Below are 22,508 nucleotides of genomic sequence, written 5' to 3'. Positions count from 1 at the left end.
GAGGGGCCAGGAGAGCAGCAGCATCATAAGCCACAGGGTGGGGCAGCCAAGGCAGGGGCATTCTGAGCTGTTGGGGAGGGGTGGCAGGCAGGGTGGGGCACTGTGAGGTGTCGGGGAGGGCATTGTGAAGTGTGGGGTGGGGCATTGTGTGCCACATGCCTGGGCTCCCACCTGGGGCCAGTGGGCTTCAGTCTGTAGGTGACTACAGAAGGAGGAGGAGCTCCGTCTGTTCTCTCTTCAGGCAGTTGTTGTGTCTCTCAGCGCTTGTTGGGTTCACAACCTATTAAATAAGCCGGCTGGTCTTCACCCTCCCAGACAAGTCAACTCAGGGGAGGCAGCAGGGTGCGGGCCTTGGCCCACAGCCCTAGCCGGGGCCGGGGCCGGGGCCGGGACCAGGGCTGGTGCCCGGGGCCGCACTGTGAGGTGGGCAGGCGAGGAGCGGGAAGACCATCTCTGCAAGTGCAGCATAGCCTCGGCCTAGGACAGCGGGAGTGCGTGGCCAAAGCTGTGAGCAGAGGCACAGGTGGTGGCAGGCAGTAGAGGCGCCCCATGGGGAACATACTGACCTGTCGTGTGCACCCTAGCGTCAGCCTCGAGTTTGACCCAGCAGCAGGGGTCGGTGTGTCCCTCTGAATCTGAGATCTATGAGGCAGTAGCTGAGGACAGGATGGCAGGAGCGCCCATGGCTGCTGCTGTACAGCCTGCTGAGGTGACTGTTGAAGTTGGTGAGGACCTCCACATGCACCAGGTTCGTGACCGGGAGATGCCTGAAGGTAAGGAGGTGATAGGTGCCATCTACCCTCGGTTTGCCTCTGGCTGCTGCTGTCCCCAAGGTTCCCTTTGAGGCATCCTACACTTCGAGCTCCTTTCTGCTTGTAGCCAGCTTTCCCGGGGGCTGGCCAGGAACAAAAGCTGGCTCTGCCTTGAATTCCCACCCCTTAGTCTTTCCCCACCGAGTCCAGTCAGTTTCTTTTCACCTCCCCTCCCAATCGCCCAGTTCTTGCTCTCTCATCTCATTCTCCCAGGCTGGCATGGGACCATTTATTTATGGCTCTTGTCGAATAAGCAGCAGTTGAATAAATGAGTTGATAAATTTTTATAAATGATTACGTCCTTTTTCTTTTCTCCCTCTATACATATAGCTTTGGAGTTTAACCTTTCTGCCAATCCAGAGGCAAGCACAATATTCCAGAGGAACTCTCAAACAGATGGTGAGACAACAGTGTCTGTAGCTCTGTTTATTATCCTGTGGGACTTTGTTTAGGCTTCTTTGAGCTATTCTCTTCCTTTTCTCAATAAAAACTCAAATATCCCAACTTTTCAGTACCCATCTTAATTTTTCTTTGAACCTATCCAGATGGTACCTAAGTGAAGGAACCAGGTAAGTGCCTAATTGTTTCCTTTGTTAAAGTAGCCAAATCTCAGGACAGTTCCTATTCAAATATTTGGGGATTTCTTATTTAAAATCAGAATGGAGGTTGCCACGGGAGAGGCTATATGGTATTCTTAATGGGCTGCTTTAAGTCACCTTGATAGAAGCTGCTTAGTTTCTTCTAACTGTAATTTGAACACAGAAGGAAAGAGAAAAAAGGAGAGTGCTTAAAATAATTGTGAAAGGTATAAAATGTCACAGCCAGGGCTGCAGAAAAATGGTTGTGTGTGTGTGTTTGGGGTTTCTCAAAGGAGTTTACCTATGAGGCTCTGATTACTTTAAAATTCTTACTTTAACAGAAAATGTGTCTCCAGATTTATTCTGGTGACTTAACAGACTTTATTTACCTCCTTGTTCTAAAAGAGAGGTGGGGATTGGTTCACGGTCAAAACTTTCAAAAGACATGAAACGTCAATGTAGACTTTTAATGTGTAATATAAAGATTGCAGGTTAAAATGTCAGACCTTCCCTGTAAGAGTGTTTGTTGCCGTGGCTCCCCCTTTGTCCCTTCCCCTCCTGACAATAGCATCTTGTTCAAAGATAAGAAAGTTACAGTTTTGGCTGGGCTTGGTGGCTCACGCCTGTAATCCCAGCACTTTGGGAGGCTGTGGCAGGCGGATCACCTGAGGTCAGGAGTCGAGACCAGCCTGGCCAACATGGTGAAACGCTGTCTCTACTAAAAAAGAAAATACAAAAATTAGCTGGGCGTAGTGGCGCATGACTGTAGTTCCAGCTACTCACAAGGCTGAGGCGGGAGAATTGCTTGGACCTGGGAGGTGGAGGTTGCAGTGAGCAGAGATCACGCCAATGCACTCCAGGCTGGGTGACAGAGCGAGACTCCGTCTCACAAAAAAAAAAAGGAAAGAGTTGGAGTTTTTTAGTCTCTACACTGTTGGCAGAGGCAGGGGATGGGAGCCGGTAGAAAACAGAAAACAATTAGTTGGTTTGCCTCTAAAATTTTGCAAAGAGATGAATCTAAGTAAAAGTAATTCTGGGTAATAATATGGTTCTTGAATAAAAACTGAAATTTTCAAAATAGAAAACATTGCATCATAAACATATTAAATCCAGTTGGCTTATTGGTTTCATTTAAATGCCAGAGATTTCATTACTGTAGAGGAAATGTCTTATAGCTCTTCTATTTAAACTTTGGTTGGGCTCTTAATTTTTAAAGAGGTAGGATAATTAAGACTCATTATGAGTGTGACTTTGTAACTTGGAAGTACTATCTTCACATTTCAAGATATTTAAGGATTGCTTTAGAATAAACAAATGCATTATGTGAATTAATTGATTGTACCTTTATACACAAAGCATGTAAGTACTTGTATAAACTTATACTCTGCTTGGTGAAGTTCGGAAAGCCTGATGGATGTTACACACCAGTTAGTAGATGGGTAGTGTTGGATGAGAGCCCAAAAATGGCTCTTTATTGTCATTCTTTAGGATTACAACACAGTTTATGTATGTCTCACTTGGCCCTTTCCAATACAAATAAGGCCTGTGTATGTTCTCCCTATGTATTGCTAATGAAGAAATGAAAACTTAGAGATATCACATGACTATGGAAGACAGCTACTCAAGAGAACTAAGGTTCTGTGTCCTCAGAATGAAATGGAAGTGACAGATATGATGAATTTACTTTTTAAAAATTTTAAAAACTCTAGAATACATCTTATATTTTGCCTATAAAATAGACTGTCTTTTAAAACTTACTGCCATCTTGATTTATTTTATGCAAAGTTGATTTTACACAACTCAAAGCCAAAATTTACCTCTTTTTTTTTTTTTTTTTTTTTTTTTTTAAATAAAGGAGGGTGTCATTGTGTTACTCATGCTGGCCTCAACTTCCTGACCTGGGTTCAAGTGATTTTCCCATCTCAGCCTCCTGAGTAGCTGGGACTACAAGCATGTGCCATCTTGCCTGGCTCTATCTTATGTCTATACATTCATTTCAATGGATAAGAATCAAAGTAGAGATAGTGAAATAGCCTAAATGCAGCAGCCGAATAAACGAGTTGATAAATTTTTATCAATGATTGCATCTCTTTTTCTTTTCTTCCTCTATGCATATAGCTTTGGAGTTTAACCCTTCTGCCAATCCAGAGGCAAGCACAATATTCCAGAGGAACTCTCAAACAGATGGTGAGACAACATTGTTTTTTCCGCCAAGAGAAAGAATAAAAGCTCTTGTTTGATCAGGTTATAGAAAGTATTTAGAAAAACTCATATTGGTTTAAATTTTTCACCTTTTCACATGTTCACTTGTCTTATTTTAATATGTGATATACTTTCCTTTAGTTGTTATGATGTTAGTGAAAACGTGTAACCTTTTTGTTTATACATTTTGCCATCTTTTTATCAACACAATTAATTTGTCATGTGTTGGAGGAGTCATGGATTTCTCTTTATAATTCTTGGATTTATCTTTATTTATAATTAATGGATTTATCTTTATTTATAATCCCTTTTCCCTTGCTCCAAAAAGTACACTTTAAAGATGAATGATAGAACTTAGGCTTCAGCTTGGTTTTCATTTAAACAAATTAAAAAACATAGTTGTTTATCATCAGGGATTGAATCTGTGATTTGGGCCTCCTCTTACACAGTCCTCTGACCACATTCATTTACCACATCCAAGTTCATGCTACTCAAAAGTTTTAGGTTATTAACTTTTTCATTTGATGTCATGTAAATTTAAACATGCCCTACTCCTGCTTATTTCCCTAATGTTATGTTAAATCCTCATTTATTTGCCAACAAGCCATACACAGCCAAGTTTTCCAGTTGACTTAAACAGCAAGAATACAAGTGAGGGTTCTATAATAGTGTGCGAAGTAATGCAGCACAGTAAAACACGGGAGTTTGTAACCTTTGTTTTTATAGTTTGAGTAGACTTTGCCCATCTTGAGTCAGTTATTTCTGGTTAGAATTTGTCTTCATTTTTTACATTACTATAAAGAGATACCTAAGGCTGGGTAATTTATAACAAAAAAGAGGTTTAATTGGCTCAAAGATTTTCAGGCTGTACAAACATGGCTTTAACATCTGCTTCTGGTGAGGGCCTCAGCAAACTTACAATCATGATAAAAGGCAAAGGGGAAGCAGGTGGTTCCACACGGTGAAAGAGAGAGGGGAAGGGGGAAGGTACCACACTCTTTTTTTTTTTTTTTTTGAAATGGAGTCTCACTCTGTTGCCCAGGCTGGAGTGCAATGGCACGATCTTGGCTCACTACAACCTCCATCTCCCAGGTTCAAGCAATTCTCCTGCCTCAGCCTCCCGAGTAGTTGGGACTATAGGTGGGCACCATAACACCTGGCTAATTTCTGTATTTTTGGTAGAGACAGGGTTTCACCATGTTAGCCAGGCTGGTCTGAAACTCCTGACCTCAAGTGATCTACCCGCTTCAGCCTCCCAAAGTGCTGGGATTACAGGCTTCAGCCACCGCACCTGGCCAGTACCACAGTCTTTTAAATTACCATAATGAGAATTTGCTTATTACCATGGGGATGGGACCAAGCCATTCATAAGGAATCCACTGCCATTACCCAAACGCCTCCCACTAGGCCCTGTCTCCAACATTAAGGGTCACATGTTAACATGAGACTTGGAGGGGCAACATATCCAAAACATATCAGAATTGTATTTCCCAGTTCCTTCCAGAGCCATGGGCTTCTCACACCTAGAGAGCATGGAAGCAGTAAAAGAAAAGCTATTCCATGTCCCTCACTCTTCGGTGGTAGGAACTTTTGCCTACAAGGCCCTTCCAGCATCAAAGGCAGAGGCAGTGTAGGAAACAAAGCATGGCCCAAGTCCCTCTTGGGGCTTTTATTATTCTGGCCTCTTTTTAGAGGAAAAAAAATGATTTTTTGAGCTGCAGACACCATGTCCAATTAGGTTTGTATACTCATTTTAACATCAAAATTTAGGCCAGGCTCTGTGGCTTACACCTGTAATCCCAGCTCTTTGGGAGGCTGAGGTGGGTGGATCACGAGGTTAGGAGATCAAGACCATCCTGGCTAACACAGTGTAACTCTGTCTCTACTAAAAATACAAAAAAAAATTAGCTAGGCATGGTGGCACGTGCCTGTAGTCCCAGCTAGTCAGGAGGCTAAGGCTGAAGAATTGGTTGAACCTGGGAGGCAGAGGTTGCAGTGAGCTGAGATCCCACCACTGCACTCGAGCCTAGGTGACAGAGTGAGACTCCATCTCAAAAAAAAAAAAATTAAGATACGTTACTTTCCAGTTGTGTAAAGACCGTTTTTTAATTTTGATTTGTTTTTAGTGACATATTAGTAGATAACCACTAAGTGTGGTTCAAGATGCTTACAGGGATTCTGTTGCATCTAGAGATAGGTGTCTGGTCAGGACGTAGTTCTTAGAGCTGTTAGCTCTTAGAGTCTGATAATTAAAGTAAGCTATGTGTAAATGCAGAATGAGAGAATACTAATGGATCATGGCTCATATATGCAACAGTTAAACTTTTTATTAGCTAAATTTTTCATCTGGCCTAATTTTTTTACCCTTTTCTTTTGTACATGAGGATTCTTTCATTTGTATGTAATAGAAACAAAAAGTAAACTAAATGAAAAACTAAGTTTTTAGATTTGACTTATGAAATTAATCATGCCAGATAATTTAAATTATAAATTATTGAAAATTATTTTTTTAAATGGAATTTTGTCTCATTTTACATAGGAGTAATCAGTAAGATGTTAACAACTACTTTTATTTTATGGTATTTGTATCAGAAGTGACCAGTTTTTTTTTTTTTTTATTCTTAGTTGTAGAAATAAGAAGAAGCAACTGTACAAACCATGTAAGTAAACACTCAAATAGTTAAGAAATTGATAGTTTGACATAAAAGGATGTCTCTCTTGATTTCTTTAAATTACAATGTGGACCTGGTGGTGGTAGCATGGACCTCTTTTTGTGGATTTTCTAAATCTCTTCTATTTTCCTGAGTATTAAATTTATCCAGAAAAGTGTTTAGCTTAGCGTGTCCACCTTTTAAAGATTTCTGACATTTAAGTTAAATTTCAATAGTCTGGTTCAAAAGATCTGCCTTAAGGCTGGGCATGGTGGCTAACGTCTGTAATCACAGCACTTTAGGAGGCCAAGGCAGGCTGATCATCTGAGGTCAGGAGTTTGAGACAGCCCTGACCAACATGGTGAAATTCTGTATCTACTAAAAATACAAAAGTAGCCGGGCGTGCTGGTGCATGCCTGTAATCTCAGCTAGTCAGGAGGCTGAGGCAGAAGAATCACTTGAACCCAGGAGGCGGAGGTTGCAGTGAGCCAAGATCGTGCCATTGCACTCCAGCCTGGGCGACAGAGCGAAACTCTGTCTCAAAAAAAAAAAAAAAAAAAAAGTGCCTTAAATATTTAATCTTATTTTTAATGAAAGAACAAAAATAGAATAGTTAAGTTAATTGCCAGCACTGTCTATTGACTTTCTATCACAGCGGGTAAAAGCGTATCTTCCTCGCTACACCATGATCTTATGTTTCTCCCTGTGTTTCTTCCAATTGTAGCACACTTTTTAATTAAATCAGTAATATTTACATGATTATGACTCTGCAAATATTATTCACTGCTAAGTCATATGGTGTTTTCACTGTGCCTCTGCATTCCATGTCCTTCATCCTGTCTCTGAAACAGTTCTGAAATCTGAGCACTTCTGCAATTCTCCTGGATCTTCTTTTTTCCTAGCCTATGTTAGTTTATCTATCCAAATATCATTAAGTAGCCTCTGGGTGCTCTGTTTGCTTTCACATCCATTATTTTTTAGCATGAAGCTAATTTTCTGACTATATTCATTTGCCTATTTTCTAACAGCTGTTTTTCCCCCAAGTATTGTAGCATTTATCACATGCCTTTCAAAGATATTTTCCATCTGCAAAAACACATCTGTTCCTTTTTATGTGTGTGTGGGGGGCAACTTTCTTTGGCCTTTTGTCATCCTAGTTCAATATAGCGTGGGTTTCCCTAGATATGCTCGATGTCTGCTTTTCTGGGCTAACTCCTTAAAGTCTTTTGGGATCTCACGTAACTGCTGTCTTGTGTGGGATCGCCTGAGTCCTAGATTCTGTGTTTCCTTCTGTCCTGTTATCGTCTCTAGTTGTACTTGAACACATTTTCCTGGGTGGAGATGTTAAAATCCCTCCTCTTTGATAGAGAGTACACCTCTAGGTTGAATCTAAATTGTATGGTTCTGAAGACATTTTGCAGTTGTGCTCTTATTACAGTGTTGTTCTTGAATCTATTGCCAGTGTGTGATATGTTATTTACAACCAGGTTTTAGTTATCTGCGGAAGCTTTTTAGAATCTCTCTCTCTAAGGTTCTGAAATTTTATAACAGCTTGTTGGGGATCTTTTCATTTTATTGAGGCTACTAAACCTGCAGACTATCTCTTCTTGAGAATTTTTTTTTTATTTTCTCTGTTACTTTTTTACTGATAGTCTTGTTCTTCAGATGCTAGGCTGCTTAGACCAGTACACCTGCATTGATTTTTAATTTTTCCCCTTCTATTTTTTTCAGTTTGTCTTTTTATTCTAGTTCTGGGATATTCTGTGACTTTATCCTCTACTATTTCTATTGAATTTTATATTTTTTGAGAGTGTTTTAAGATTTTTTTTTAAAGTTTTGCTCCTGATTTTGACTGGTCCTATCAATTCCTTTTTTCTATTGTTTTGATCTCTTTTCTTGGAGGCTTCCCTCCAATGTGTGGTGGTCCCTGGCCTGCTTTATTTGGAAGCAGGATTTCTGTTAACTGATAGCACTCAGTGTGAGGCCTTAGAAGCCTGACTAGCTTTTCATTTGGGAGACCTCAGTGTATTATCTGGGGATCTTTACTGAAGACATTTCAGTTTCTTCTGAGAAGGATCTCCCAATTTTCTGCCTGGAAAGGAAAAGCAGAGTTAGCAAAGAAAGTTGGAGTTCCATTTTTGGTGTACAGTTTTCTTTATATCTCAGGTTTAAGCCATAGTATCTCTGAGCCAGAAATTCTCAGGTTTGATATATCCAGAGAACACACATCTAAGTTTCTTGTCAGATGGAAGGACAGGTAGACTTTGGGCTCTAGTTAGAGATTTGCAACTGACCTTGCTGGCTTTTTTTTTTTACATTTTACCCTACTTTCCAAAGTGCCATTTGCCTGTAAGTTCACAACCTGCCTTTAGTTCTGCAAGACAAACTGGCTCGCTTCTGTTCCAGTCACTTTCTGTAGTCAGCAAAGTTGTGTTTCTGTGTTATTTACCACTCCTTTGTCTACTTTTTATGTCTCAGCATTTACTAAAAATTATCTCTGTCAACCTTCTGTGCTGGTCATGGGTGTAACCTTTATTTTATGACTAATGAGGCTTCCAGAGGGAGACGAAATAAATTTGTGGTCAATCTATTATATTTAATCCAAATTTAGGACCTATGTTTAAATCAAAGTCTAATTTGAGTATAATGATATTAAGCCAGAGAATTTTTTAAATTAATGTATCTATAATAAGCATATTACACTTTTCTCCTAAGGCCTTGTTTAATATTTTCATTCAAAGTTTATCCACTGCCATATGCTTCCCATTACTTCACAACATAAATGGAGCTGTTTTCCTGAATGCCCAAGGTGTTAGAAATATTTAAGTTAATTAAGATTTGTTCATTTTTAGCCTGGTCAACATAGCAAGACCTCATGTCTACAAAAAGGTTAAATAACAAATTAGCCAGGCCTCGTGGCATGCGCCTTTCATATTACCTACTCAGGAGGCTGAGGCAGAGGATCACCTGAGCTCAGGAGTTTGAGGCTGCAGTTAACTATAATTGCACCACTGCACTCCAGCCTGGGCAACAAAGGGAGACCCTGTCTCGGAAAAAGGAAAAAAGTTACTAATTCTTTAAAAACCTATCTAAAATTTGTCCTGCCCAAAAGGAGAGTGAAAAATATGAACTTTAGTCTTTGTTTTATTTTATGTTTGCTGAGAAAAATGCTGTACTTTATTTATTTATTTATTATTTCCATAGGTTTCTGGGGGAACAGGTGGCATTTGGTGACATGACTAAGTTCTTTAGTGATGATTTGTGAGATTTAGGTGCACCCATCACCTGAGCAGTATCCGCTGAACCCAATTTGTAGTCTTTTATCCCTCACCCTCCTCCCAGCCTTTCCCCCAAGTCCCCAAAGTCCATTGTATCATTCTTATGGCTTTGCATCCTCATAGCTTAGCTCCCACGTAGGAAAGAGAACATGATATTTGGTTTTCCATGCTGAGTTATTTCACTTAGAATAATAGTCTTGCTTCCATCCAGGTTGCTGGGAATGCCATGAATTTATTCCTTATTATGGCTGAGGTGGTATTCCTCATATATATATATATATAATATGTATGTATATCACAGTTTCTTTATCCGCTCATTGACTGATGGGCATTTGGGCTGGTTCCATATTTTTGTAATTGTAATTTGTTTGAGTTCCTCATAGATTCTGGATAATAGCCCTTTGTCAGATGTATAGACTGCGAAGATTTCCTCCCACTCTGTGGTTGTCTGTATACTCTGCTGATTGTTCCTTTTCCTGTGCAGAAGCTCTTTAGTTAAGTCTCACCTATTTGTTTCTGTTGCATTTGCTTTTGTGTTCTTGGTCATGAAGTCTTTGCCCAAGCCAGTGTCTAGACGGGTTTTTCCAATGTTATCTTCTAGAACTTTTATGGTTTCAGGTCATAGATTTATGTCCTTGATCCATCTTGAGTTGATTTTTGTGTAAGGTGAGAGTTGAGGATCCAGTTTCATTCTCCCGCATGTGGCTTGCCAATTATCCCAGCACCATTTGTTGAATAGGGTTTACTTTCTTCACTTTATGTTTTAGGTGGCTTTGTTGAAAATCAGTTGGCTATAGGTATTTGAGTTTATTTCTGGGTTCTCTATTCTGTTCCATTGGTGTATGTGCCTATTTTTATATCAGTACCGTGCTATTTTGGCGACTATGGCCTTATAGTATAGTTTGAAATCAGGTAATGTCATGCCTCCAGATTTGTTGTTTTTGCTTAGTTTTGTTTTGGCTGTGCCGGTTCTTGTTTGGTCCATATAAATTTCAGGATTGTTTTTTCTAGTTCTGTGAAGAAGGATGGTGGTATTTTGATGGGAGTTGCATTGAATTTGTAGATTGCTTTTGGCAGTATGGTCATTTTCACAATATTCATTCTACCCATTCATGAGCATGGGGTGTCTTTCCATTTGTCTGTGTCCATGACTTCATTCAGCAATGTTTTGTAGTTCCCAACGGCATATCAAAAAGATAATCGGGCCAGGCACGGTGGCTCACACCTGTAATCCCAGCACTTTGGGAGGCTGAGGCGGACGGATCATGAGGTCAGGAGTTCGAGACCAGCCTGGCCAACATGGTGAAACCCCATCTCTACTAAAAATACAAAAGTTAGCCGGGCGTGGTGGCGCTCACCTGTTATCCCATCTACTCGAGTGGCTGAGGCAGGAGAATCGCTTGAACCTCGGAGGCAGAGGTTGCAGTGAGCCAAGATCACCGCATTGCATACTCCAGCCTGGGCAACAGAGCGAGACTCCATCTCAAAAAATAAAAAAAAGATAATCCACCATGATCAAATGGGTTTCATACCAGGGATGCGGGGATGGATTAACATACACAAGTCAATAAATGTGATACACCACATAAACAGAATTAAAAACAAAAAATCACATGATCATCTTAACAGATGCAGAAAAAGCATTTGACAAAATGCAGCATCCTTTTATGATTAAAACCCTCAGCAAAATCAGCATACAAGGGTCATAGCTCAATGTAATAAAAGCCATCTATGACAAACCCACAACCAACATAATACTGAAAGGGGGAAAAGTTGAAAGCATTCCCCCCGAGAACTGGAACAAGACAAGGATGCCCACTCTCACCACTTGTATTCAACATACTACTGGAAGGCCTAGCCAGAGCAATCACACAAGAGAAAACAATAAAAGGCATGCAGATCAGTAAAGAGGAAGTCAAACTGTTGCTGTTTGATGATGATATGATCATATACCTAGGAAACCCTAAAGACTCCTCCAAAAAGCTCCTAGAACCGATAAATGAATTCAGCAAAGTTTCAGGAGACAAAATTAATGTACACAAATCAGTAGCTCTGTTATACCCCAGAAGCGACCAAGCTTAGAATCAAACCAAGAACTCAACCCCTTTTCTGATAGCTGCAAAAATAAACTAAAATAAAATAAAATACTTCGGAATAGACCTAACCAAGGAGGTGAAAGATGTCTACAAGGAAAACAACTTTAGTATTTTTAATGGGTTAAAATGAGAGGCAGCAGGTACAGCAGAAGTCAGTGCGTGGGCATCCGCATCCAATGGGTACTGCACCTTTGATGGTAAGGCTTTGGTTTTGACTTACTAAATTACTAGGTACGATTATTTTCTAGTTTTTGTCATTAAACCTTAAAACTACTAAGTAACCCCTTCCATTTCTTGTTAAATATTGTAAAATTTCATACTCTCATTTATGCTGACTGACGTTAGATTATTTGTTTCTATTTTGTGACTACCTTAAATAATACCTATAAAGAGTAAACTGTTAGTAGTGTTTTTGCTGTAATTAAATGTAGTAAGACTTACCTTCCAAATGATGACTGAATTGTCAAACACTTGTCGAAGTTTTGGATTTACTCAAAATTCTATGCTCAGCAGCTGGAGGTAGGAAGAGTAAGGGCCCTCCCTTACTCTTATGGAGAGGCATACTTTCTCATGAGGGGAATACTCTGCAGCAATTAGCATCTTGTAAGCAGTGGTGAATTCAACTAATTAGTGTATAAAAATACATTTTTTGGTGTGGCTGCCGACAAAGAGATCCAAGAGGGTAGATGGAGTCGAGCTTGCTGAAGCAAGGAAAGAGAAAAGCAGTATTCTAGGCAGAGAGCAGGGGTAGAGCAGGAAAATGGCTAGGTGCAGGTCAGATGATTTATAGAATGCAATTGATCAAGTTTTGAAGTGAATGCAAAGTATTCTCCAAGAGTCTCATTTGAGTCATGTCTTGGCAGTCTTATTTAAACATGAAGTGAAAGTTAGATTTTTTAAGTTGTCATTTGTTTTTAGGGTGTGAGAGAATATTTAAGTGATACTCTTTTTATCCTCCACATAAGAAAATAGGACTAGAGAAACCTATGGCTTCCTCACTTGTTGGTGGCCTAGCAGCCCTGGCACACAGAGCCCCTGAATCTGAAACACTTCTTTTGTAACAATATCACCTGAAATAATACATTTAGGATTAGTAATTTAGTAAATGCATTAATCTTGTATTCACTGCAATAAAATGCTCTTGTAGCAGGATTATTTAATACACTACATTTTATCGTAGTAAATAAATAATAGAAGGGCTGGGCGCCGTGGCTCACGCCTGTAATCCCAGTACTTTGGGAGGCTGAGGCAGGCAGATCGCGAGGTGAGGAGATCGAGACCATCCTGGCTAACACGGTGAAACCCCGTCTCTACTAAAAATACAAAAAGTTAGCCGGGCATGGTGGCGGGCACCTGTAGTCCCAGCTACTCAGGAGGCTGAGTCAGGAGAATGGCGTGAACCCGGGAGGCGGAGCTTGCAGTGAGCCGAGATCGCACCACTGCACTCCAGCCTGGGCTACAGAGCGAGACTCCGTCTCAAAAATAAATAAATAAATAAATAAATTAATTAATTAATTAATAGAAATTCTTGGCTGCTTTTTATTGCTGTAGAAAAAAATATGAAATCTCATTTTAAACTTTTCTTTCTTTTTTTTTTTTTTTTTTGAGACGGAGTCTCACTTTGTCTCCCGGCCTGGAGTGCAGTGGCGCGAACTCGGCTCACTGCAAGCTCTGCCTCCTGGGTTCACCCCATTCTCCTGTTTCAGCCTCTCGAGTAGCTGGGACTACAGGGGCCTGCTACCACGCCCGGCTAATTTTTTGTATTTTTAGTAGAGACGGGGTTTCACCATGTTAGCCAGGATGGTCTCGATCTCTTGACCTCGTGATCTGCCCGCCTCCACCTCCCAAAGTGCTAGGATTACAGGTGTGAGCCACCGCGCCCGGCGAAGCCGACTTTTCCCATTATTTTTAACGGTAATTCATAAAATCCTTGTTAGGTTTGATGACAGGTACCATATTAAGGGCAGCATTTTATAACCCATATCTTAAACATCATCTCTGGAAGTTGAGAGCCTCCAATGTGTTTTCTATAGAGTGCACATGATACCACACTCAGGCAGTTCATGGAGTGTAAGACATATCTTAGTGCTTTGTCATTTGACATTTTAACTGAGAAAAAAATACACTTTGATAAGTTTGACTTACACTTCCCTTCCCCTTCAGGTATCTACTGAGCGTTTCAGTCAACAATACAGCTCGTGTTCGACAATATTCCTTGATGACAGCACAGCCATCCAGCATTATCTTACAATGACAATAATATCGTGAGTACAACTATGCTGCCGAGGGACAGATTCCTTTATTCGGAAATTATTTCAGCCATTTGGTTGTCCTCTTCAGCAATCAGCTTAAGAAATTGGAGTCAACCATATATTGATATCCAGATTCTCAATATTAAGTATCAGTTTCTCTTTTAATCTTAGACGTCGTGGTGGAAGGAAAAATCAGTTAGCAAAGAAGCAAACCCAGAAACAGTGTGTCTTTTTGATGCCTTTATGCCTTTAGACAATGTTGAACACAGTGAGAAGGATAGGTTCCCTTTATTGAATGTTTTTTGTGGAAACTTAGTTTTTCAATGCATCATAGGCCCAAATCAGTGTGCACTACTTTGGACATTATCCTTGGAAGAAGGAACAGCTTTTCTTCTTCTGGCACCACAGTGTATCTGCATTTGAATTTCTCCCATTGTGCATGAGCACCTCGTGGACCACGATGCGCTTTGAGAGCACCCTGAGATGAAGTTTATTTTAAAAGGAACAACAACCAACACCACCACCAGCTCCACAGGGGCCGTCCAGTGTACATTATTCTCATCTCCTTGGGTTATTAGTCTTGATTTTTAGAACACAGTTTGGAAAGTGCTAATTTAGAATATTAATGTCTTTATCTTTAATTTAACTTTTCATTCTGTAAACATAACTAGCTTATAAACAATTTTGTTTCAAATGCACTAGCCTTTTTAGCTAATTCAATTGTCAATAACTTTTACTTCAATTAAAAGTGGCAAGTTTACACTCATAATAATGTCACTTTCCTCCCTCCCTTTTAACAATAGTTGAGAGGAAATTGTGTTTCAAACAAAAACTGAACTCAAACTCTGTCTCAAGTCCTGAGCTTTGGGACCTATTGAGTAATCACTAAATGTCTGTAGTCAGCCAAGTCTCTTAAATCTTTGAGCACACATACACAAAAATTACTTTGACTAGAGTCCCTGGCTTCTTCTGAGTTCCAAAGATTTTGATAAGTTAGCATATAATTCAAAAGCAGCTTTGAAGATTAATTTTGCTGAAACAAATTTCGTGCTTTTTTCCTCATTATTCTACTTTTTAGAAGTCTACTTTTGAGAGTATAGTAAGTTTTAATTTGCCACCAGCAAGTTTGAGAAATGATCATTTGGTGTATTCACTATTGGTGAAATAAAGTTATTGAACAAATTAATAGGGCAAATTGGCTTCAAGAAGATATTTTGAAAAATGTTTTATCATGAATCAGTAGTGCACTGTTGTCAGTGGGATAGGTGGAACTCGCTGAGATCACTTATGCAAGGTTTTTTTCAAAATGCAAGTCTGCAAATACATGTATCTTCCCATCTCCACTTTCCCTCTATCTCTAGGCACTGAGAAGCCTTTTAGGAAAATCGGGATGGATGTGAGGCATCTTTCTGTGAAGAAAAGCATCCCAGAAGATTCTGATTTTCACCCCAGCTCAATCATTCCAAACTTTGCTGCTGATTGAAATCACCTGGGAAACGTTTACCAAGAACCTTGATGCCCAAAGCCATACCCAATACTAATTAAATTAAAATGTCTCATGTGGAAGATGAGGCAGATATTAAAGCTTCTCAGGTGATTTTAATGTGCAGCAAAGTTTGAGAGCCACTGCTTAATTTGAGTTTAGGACGAGAAACTGCTCCTATTTGGTGGGACCTTGGGCAAGTCAGTTTTAAGGTTTGTTTCCCTGATCTGTAAAACAAGTGTTGAATTAAATGTCACATAAGGTCATTGGTCCTTTCCAGCATGTAACTTTAAATTCTGTGATTTTAAAATTATTTCAGAGATGAAAACTACTTGAAGCACTATAGACATATCCATCTCACATGCTAATGTTACAGGCTTTTTAAAAAGTGCTAATATTGTGTAGACCTATTAGTAGAATTGAGATTTACCTTCCCTCAGTTGTTTTGAGCCTCACTCTACAAAATTAGCTGGGTGTGGTGGTACATGCCTGTAATCCCAGCCACTTGGGAGGCTGAGGCAGGAGAATCTCTTGAACCCGGGAGGCAGAGGTTGTGGTGAGCCGAGATCACACCATTGCACTCCAGCCTGGGCAACAAGAGCGAAACTCCACCCACCACCCCCCCAAAAAAAAAAATTATCTGGGCATAGTGGCGCAAACTTGTAGTCCCAGCTTCTTGGGAGGCTGAGGCGTGAGAATCGCTTGAACCTGGGTGGTGGAGGTTGTGAGGAGTCAAGATGGCACCACTGCAGTCCAGTCTGAGCAAGAGAGACAGACTCTGGGTCAAAAAATAAATAAATACATAAAATAAATCGCATGGGACGAAAGGTTTCATCGGTAGAAAAGCATATAAAAGGGAAATCTGTTATTATTTATATATTGTAATCACCAACAGAAACGCGTCTTCTAACGGCATATTTCCTTGCATTTTGGTTCTCATATTTTTGTAAAAAACAAAGAAATGAAAACAAAGTGCCCTTATGGTACTGTTCTGAACTAGAAGATTTGAATTTCAGGGCCGCTAGGAGAGTTTCCTCTGCCCCCCTTTTAAAAAATGTCTTCAGGCCTAACAAATGATAACATCTATTGTTATGAATTTTTTTTCCTTCCACAGTGTGACCTTGGAGATACCTCATCATATCACACAAAGGTGAGCTTTTTAGAAACCTGTCTTGTTATTCTAGCTAATTACTTTGCAAGATATCAAGCTCAGTGTTAGGTCACAGCTCTAGACATCATAAGCTGTATTGTGCCTACTAAAATATCGAAGCAAATTATTTGTATTTTCTTTGTTCCTTAAGACTCTCATAATTCTTAAATGATTGAGAATCTCAAAGAGTATATGTTTATATTGATTATATTGATATTTAGTGTGGTAGAATTATACAATTGAAATTTTTTCAAAATCTATTTTTAGTTTAGATTTCACAGCCTTACCACTGTTGATATTATGGGCTAGATAATGCTTTGTTGTGAGGACTGTCTTGTGCATTGCAGAGAGTTTAGCAGTATTCATGGCCTCTACCAACTAGATGTCAGTAGTAACCCATGACCCAGGTTATAAAAACAGAAAATATTCCTTGAGAACAGTATTGTTAACAGAAGTTTTTCATTGAAAAAAAACTTTTCTACAACAAAAAGTTGAGTAAAAAGTGTGTCATTTGTTTATATTATTTAAAGTCTCTCATGTTGAGCTTAATAGGAGACAAATGGATTCTCTAGAGCTTTCTTTGCAATTTGCTTCAAAGAAGCAATATGAGGCTGGGCACAGTGGCTCACGCCTGTAATCCCAGCACTTTGGGAGGCTGAGGCGGGCGGATCACAAGGTCAGGAGATCGAGACCATCCTGGCTAACACGGCGAAACCCCGTCTCTACTAAAAATACAAAAACTTAGCTGGGCATGGTGGCACGCACCTGTAGTCCCACGTATTCTGGAGGCTGAGGCAGGAGAACTGCTTGAACTTGGGAGGCGGAGGTTGCAGAGAGCTGAGATGGTGCCATTGCACTGCAGCCTGGGTGACAGAGCAAGACTCTGTCTAAACAAACAAACAAAAAAAGCAAGCTGGTGGGGCGCAGTGGTTCACACCTGTAATCCCAGCATTTTGGGAGGCCGAGGTGGGTGGATCACTTGAGGTCAGGAGTTTGAGACCAGCCCGACCAACATGGTAAAACCCGCCTCTACTGAAAGTACAAAAAATGGCTGGGCGTGGTGGTGCATGCCTGTAGTCCCAGTTACTTGGGAGGCTGAGGCAGGAGAATCGCTTGAGCCTGGGAGGTGGAGGTTGCAGTGAGCCGAGATCTCGCCATTGCACCCCAGCCTGGGTGACAGAGAGAGACTCTGTCTCAAAAAAAGAGAAAAAGAAGCAATAAGATGACCTAACCTCATGCAAATATGTAGTTGGTAGAAGGTGTATTTTTAAAGTTTTCAGACAGTTGTGGGTATTTGTTAAAACACTAAATCAAAACTTCACAAGTGGTGGTTTCTTAAATTAGTTACGGTGGCATTTTACATATTAATAAATTTATTCCATCAGTACTCATTGATCTTTCTTGCACAGTAAATGGATCTTTTGCTCCATACTTGCATTTATAATATCATGCATTAGTTACTTGGAATATATTGGTTTATGTTTTATTGTGTCAAAAATCACTTTTAGTTTAACCACCAATCTTACTTTAACACGCCTTTAAGTATTGAAAAGCTGCCAAGCCTACAGTAGAAGGAACAAGTTTTTCAAAGTCCACAGGAAAGCTTAAATTTTATCATTGGGAACAAATATGTATTTCCCTTGAAGTGACAACCTCTCACTTCATTTATTTTTGAGAATGATAGTTGAACTGGTTTTTTAGACCGAGTTTCACTCTGTCACTTGGCTGGAGTGCATTGGCATGATCTCAGCTCAAGCAATCCTCTCACCTCAGGCTCCTGTGTAGCTGGGACCACAGATGTGTGGCACCACGCCAGGCTAATTTTCTTATATGTTTGATAGAGACACGGTTTCGTTATGTTGCCTAGGCTGGTCCCGAACTCCTGAAGGAGCTCAGGCCATCTGCCTGCTTTGGCCTCTCAAAGTGCTGGGATTTTACAGGCGTGAGCCACTGCGCTGGCCCAGTTGTACTTTTAAATAAAAATGATGTTCTGTGAAAAAAGTGATTTTTCAGTTCACAGTTAAATCACGGATTCTTTAAAAACAAAAAAAAAAAGCACTTCTCATTAACTTTCCACTTATTCAGAATATTAGAGACATGTCAAGATTTAACAACATTAATTTTTATTGCTTCATCAAAGACGTTCTTAAGAAATTCAGGCTATGTTTTTTACCTGTAGGGGACAGTGAAGAATAGAATGACTACTAATGTAATTGGTACCACTGCCTTGATTTATGCTGAGAAACCAGCCATTGTACCTACTTTTGCTTTTATACAATCATGGCAAGTGTCAACGAAAAAGCAGGCAATGACTTTGTATTACTTTCACAAATTTTTAAAATTTTTCATCAGCTTTCTCAGGTTTAATTAGTATGATTCAGAACAGTGTTGGCCAGGCACAGTGGCTCAGGCCTGTAATCCCAGCACTTTGGGAGGCCGAGGCAAGTGGATCGCCTGAGGTTAGGAGTTCAAGACCAGCCTGGCCAACATGGTGAAACCACATCTCTACTAAAAATACAAAACTTAGCCAGGAGTGGTGGCAGGTGCCTGTAATCCCTGCTACTTGGGAGGCTGGGGTAGGAGAATCACTTGAACCTGGGAGGCGAAGGTTGCCATGAGCAGAGATCGCACCATTGCACTCCAGCCTGGGCAACAAGAGTAAAACTTGGTCTCAAAAAAAAAAAAAAAAAAAAAAAAAAAAAAAAAAAAAAAAGAACAGTTATGAGCTCTTAGGCCTTCTGGAAGAGGTCTTCGGGATCCCGAGAGGTCCACAGAGCACATTTGGAGAACCACTGGTTTATACACAGGCACAATGCATTAGTTTTACAAAGTTTAAAGTTCCTCAAAGACTGGCCTCTTAAAAAGGTAGATGAGTTTGTCATTCAGACAACAGAAAATACATAAAAACATCATGAGAGTATACTACAGAGAACTAAAGAGAAAGGAAGCTAGGAAATCTGAATCACATTTACATTTATTAAAGTTTACTACTACTGCTTTGTAGAACATTCTTGTGTTTCAATGTGTGGTTAGAAGAGTGAAAATATGTTTGGTTTATTGCCATGGCCTGTTAGGGAGAGTCAATACTCATGGGCATTTCTGACTGGTTATCATATAAAAGGCTTCACGGTACAGACCATGATGTGCTGAGAAAGAAGAAGTCAGGAAACCCTCTGCAAGTCAGGATCCAGGAGAAGAATTCGTAAAAACTGCTTTGGTAAAGTAAACACCAAAGCACACAGGAGGAAGTATTTTACTCAACAAATATTATACTAAGATATTAACAGTTTTTGAAGTAATGCACTTTCTTATTTTATAGAGATGCAGATAGATCTTTGAGCATACCTGATGAACAGTTACACTCATTTGCGGTAAGTGGCACTTTTATTGAGGTTGTATTTTCATCGTACACTTGTATCTGTTTCATGCTGAAGTCAAAGCCATCTTTTTTTAAATCTTCCCCATTTCATGTTGCATTTAGTCATCTTAAGTGTTGTAAAAAGAATGTGCTGGAGTAAGAACTGATCTGCAGCTCTGTTTAGTTAGTGAGCTAGTATGAGTAAATATACTATCCAAACAACAGAAAATGTATCTTTTTTTTTTTTTTTTGATGGACTCTCTTTCTGTAGCCCAGGCTGGAGTGCAATCGCGCGATCTTGGCTCACTGCAGGCTCTGCCTCCCAGGTCCCTGTTCAAGCAATTCTCCTGCCTCAGCCTCCCGAGTAACTGGAATTACAGGCATGTGCCACCATGCCCAGCTAATTTTTTTTTCTTTTTTTTTTTTGTAAAGACAGGGTTTCACCATGTTGGCCAGGATGGTCTTGAACTCCTGACCTCGTGATCCACCCACCTTGGCCTCCCAAAGTGCTGTGATTACAGGTGTGAGCCACCATGCCTGGCCCAGAAAATGTATCTTTTTAAAAGGTAATTGTGAGCTGTCTATAGGATCCTGCAAGCCACTACCCAATTTTTGAAGCCATTCCTCCTCCTGTTCCACACAGGTTTCCACCGTGCACATTATGAAGAAAAGAAATGGAGGTGGGAGTTTAAATAACTATTCCTCCTCCATTCCACCGACTCCCAGCACCAGCCAGGAGGACCCTCAGTTCAGTGTTCCTCCCACTGCCAACACACCCACCCCCATTTGCAAGCGGTCCATGCGCTGGTCCAACCTGTTTACATCTGAGAAAGGGAGTGACCCAGACAAAGAGAGGAAAGCCCCGGAGAATCATGCTGACACCATCGGGAGCGGCAGAGCCATCCCCATTAAACAGGGCATGCTCTTAAAGCGAAGTGGGAAATGGCTGAAGACATGGAAAAAGAAATACGTCACCCTGTGTTCCAATGGCGTGCTCACCTATTATTCAAGCTTAGGTGATTATATGAAGAATATTCATAAAAAAGAGATTGACCTTCGGACATCTACCATCAAAGTCCCAGGAAAGTGGCCATCCCTAGCCACATCAGCCCGTGCACCCATCTCCAGCTCTAAAAGCAATGGCCTATCCAAGGACATGGACACCGGGCTGGGTGACTCCATATGCTTCAGCCCCAGTATCTCCAGCACCACCAGCCCCAAGCTCAACCCACCCCCCTCTCCTCATGCCAATAAAAAGAAACACCTAAAGAAGAAAAGCACCAACAACTTTATGATTGTGTCTGCCACTGGCCAAACGTGGCACTTTGAAGCCACGACGTATGAGGAGCGGGATGCCTGGGTCCAAGCCATCCAGAGCCAGATCCTGGCCAGCCTGCAGTCATGCGAGAGCAGTAAAAGCAAGTCCCAGCTGACCAGCCAGAGTGAGGCCATGGCCCTGCGGTCGATCCAAAACATGCGTGGGAACGCCCACTGTGTGGACTGTGAGACCCAGAATCCTAAGTGGGCCAGTTTGAACTTGGGAGTCCTCATGTGTATTGAATGCTCAGGTATCCACCGCAGTCTTGGCACCCGCCTTTCCCGTGTGCGATCTCTGGAGCTGGATGACTGGCCAGTTGAGCTCAGGAAGGTTATGTCGTCTATTGGCAATGAGCTAGCCAACAGCATCTGGGAAGGGAGCAGCCAGGGGCAGACAAAACCCTCAATAAAGTCCACGAGGGAAGAGAAGGAACGGTGGATCCGTTCCAAATATGAGGAGAAGCTCTTTCTGGCCCCACTACCCTGCACTGAGCTGTCTCTGGGCCAGCAGCTGCTGCGGGCCACCGCTGATGAGGACCTGCAGACAGCCATCCTGCTGCTGGCACATGGCTCCCGTGAGGAGGTGAACGAGACCTGTGGGGAGGGAGACGGCTGCACGGCACTCCATCTGGCCTGCCGCAAGGGGAATGTGGTCCTGGAGCAGCTCCTGATCTGGTACGGGGTGGACGTCATGGCCCGAGATGCCCACGGGAACACAGCGCTGACCTACGCCCGGCAGGCCTCCAGCCAGGAGTGCATCAACGTGCTTCTGCAGTACGGCTGCCCCGACGAGTGCGTGTAGTATCTGTTTTATTTGACTGCAGTCTCCTTGGTGCAAAAACAAAATGGGAAAAATAAGGATAACTCAGAATTTCAAAAGGAAATCACAAATTCAGCTAGTAATAGCATTTTCAGTACTTTTCGTAAACTAAGTAAATACACAAAATGTTGATTTTTCTGACTATAAGACATATTTTATGTCCTTTTGCCAAGGTGGATGTGTTAGTCTCAGGCCCTCCTGGCCACATTGCCCAAGTCACACAGGCTTCTGTATTATGTATTTAGATAAAATGTGTGAAAATATATTTGAAAAAAAATTTCATAAATGTGCATTGATTTTTGTACACATGGCACCTCTTTTTCATTTTTATTTTTATTTTTTTTTTTGGACGATGTTTTGCTCTGTTGCCCCAGCTGGAGTGCAGTGGCATGATATCTGCTCACTGCAAGCTCTGCCTCCCGGATTCACACCATTCTCCTGCCTCAGCCTCTCAGGTAGCTGGGACTACAGGTGCCTGCCACCACACCTGGCTAATTTTTTGTATTTTTAG

At 41.0% G+C, this 22,508-nt stretch overlaps 1 pseudogene across 1 annotated transcript; it reads left to right on the top strand.

Annotated features, from left to right (window-relative positions):
* Positions 1 to 508: 508 nt before the first annotated feature.
* Positions 509 to 22,017, top strand: AGAP12P (ArfGAP with GTPase domain, ankyrin repeat and PH domain 12, pseudogene; annotated as a pseudogene). Its single transcript, NR_029396.2, has 8 exons — positions 509 to 773; positions 1,143 to 1,211; positions 3,509 to 3,577; positions 6,218 to 6,252; positions 13,781 to 13,881; positions 16,467 to 16,502; positions 19,822 to 19,873; positions 20,504 to 22,017. The product of NR_029396.2 is annotated as an ArfGAP with GTPase domain, ankyrin repeat and PH domain 12, pseudogene (transcript).
* The last annotated feature ends 491 nt before the right edge of the window (positions 22,018 to 22,508 follow it).

The sequence above is a fragment of the Homo sapiens genome, chromosome 10 (assembly GCF_000001405.40).
Source record: "Homo sapiens chromosome 10, GRCh38.p14 Primary Assembly".
Lineage (NCBI taxonomy): Eukaryota > Metazoa > Chordata > Mammalia > Primates > Hominidae > Homo > Homo sapiens.
Note: the sequence above shows the minus strand (reverse complement) of the source record. Positions and strands in the feature narration are given on the sequence as shown.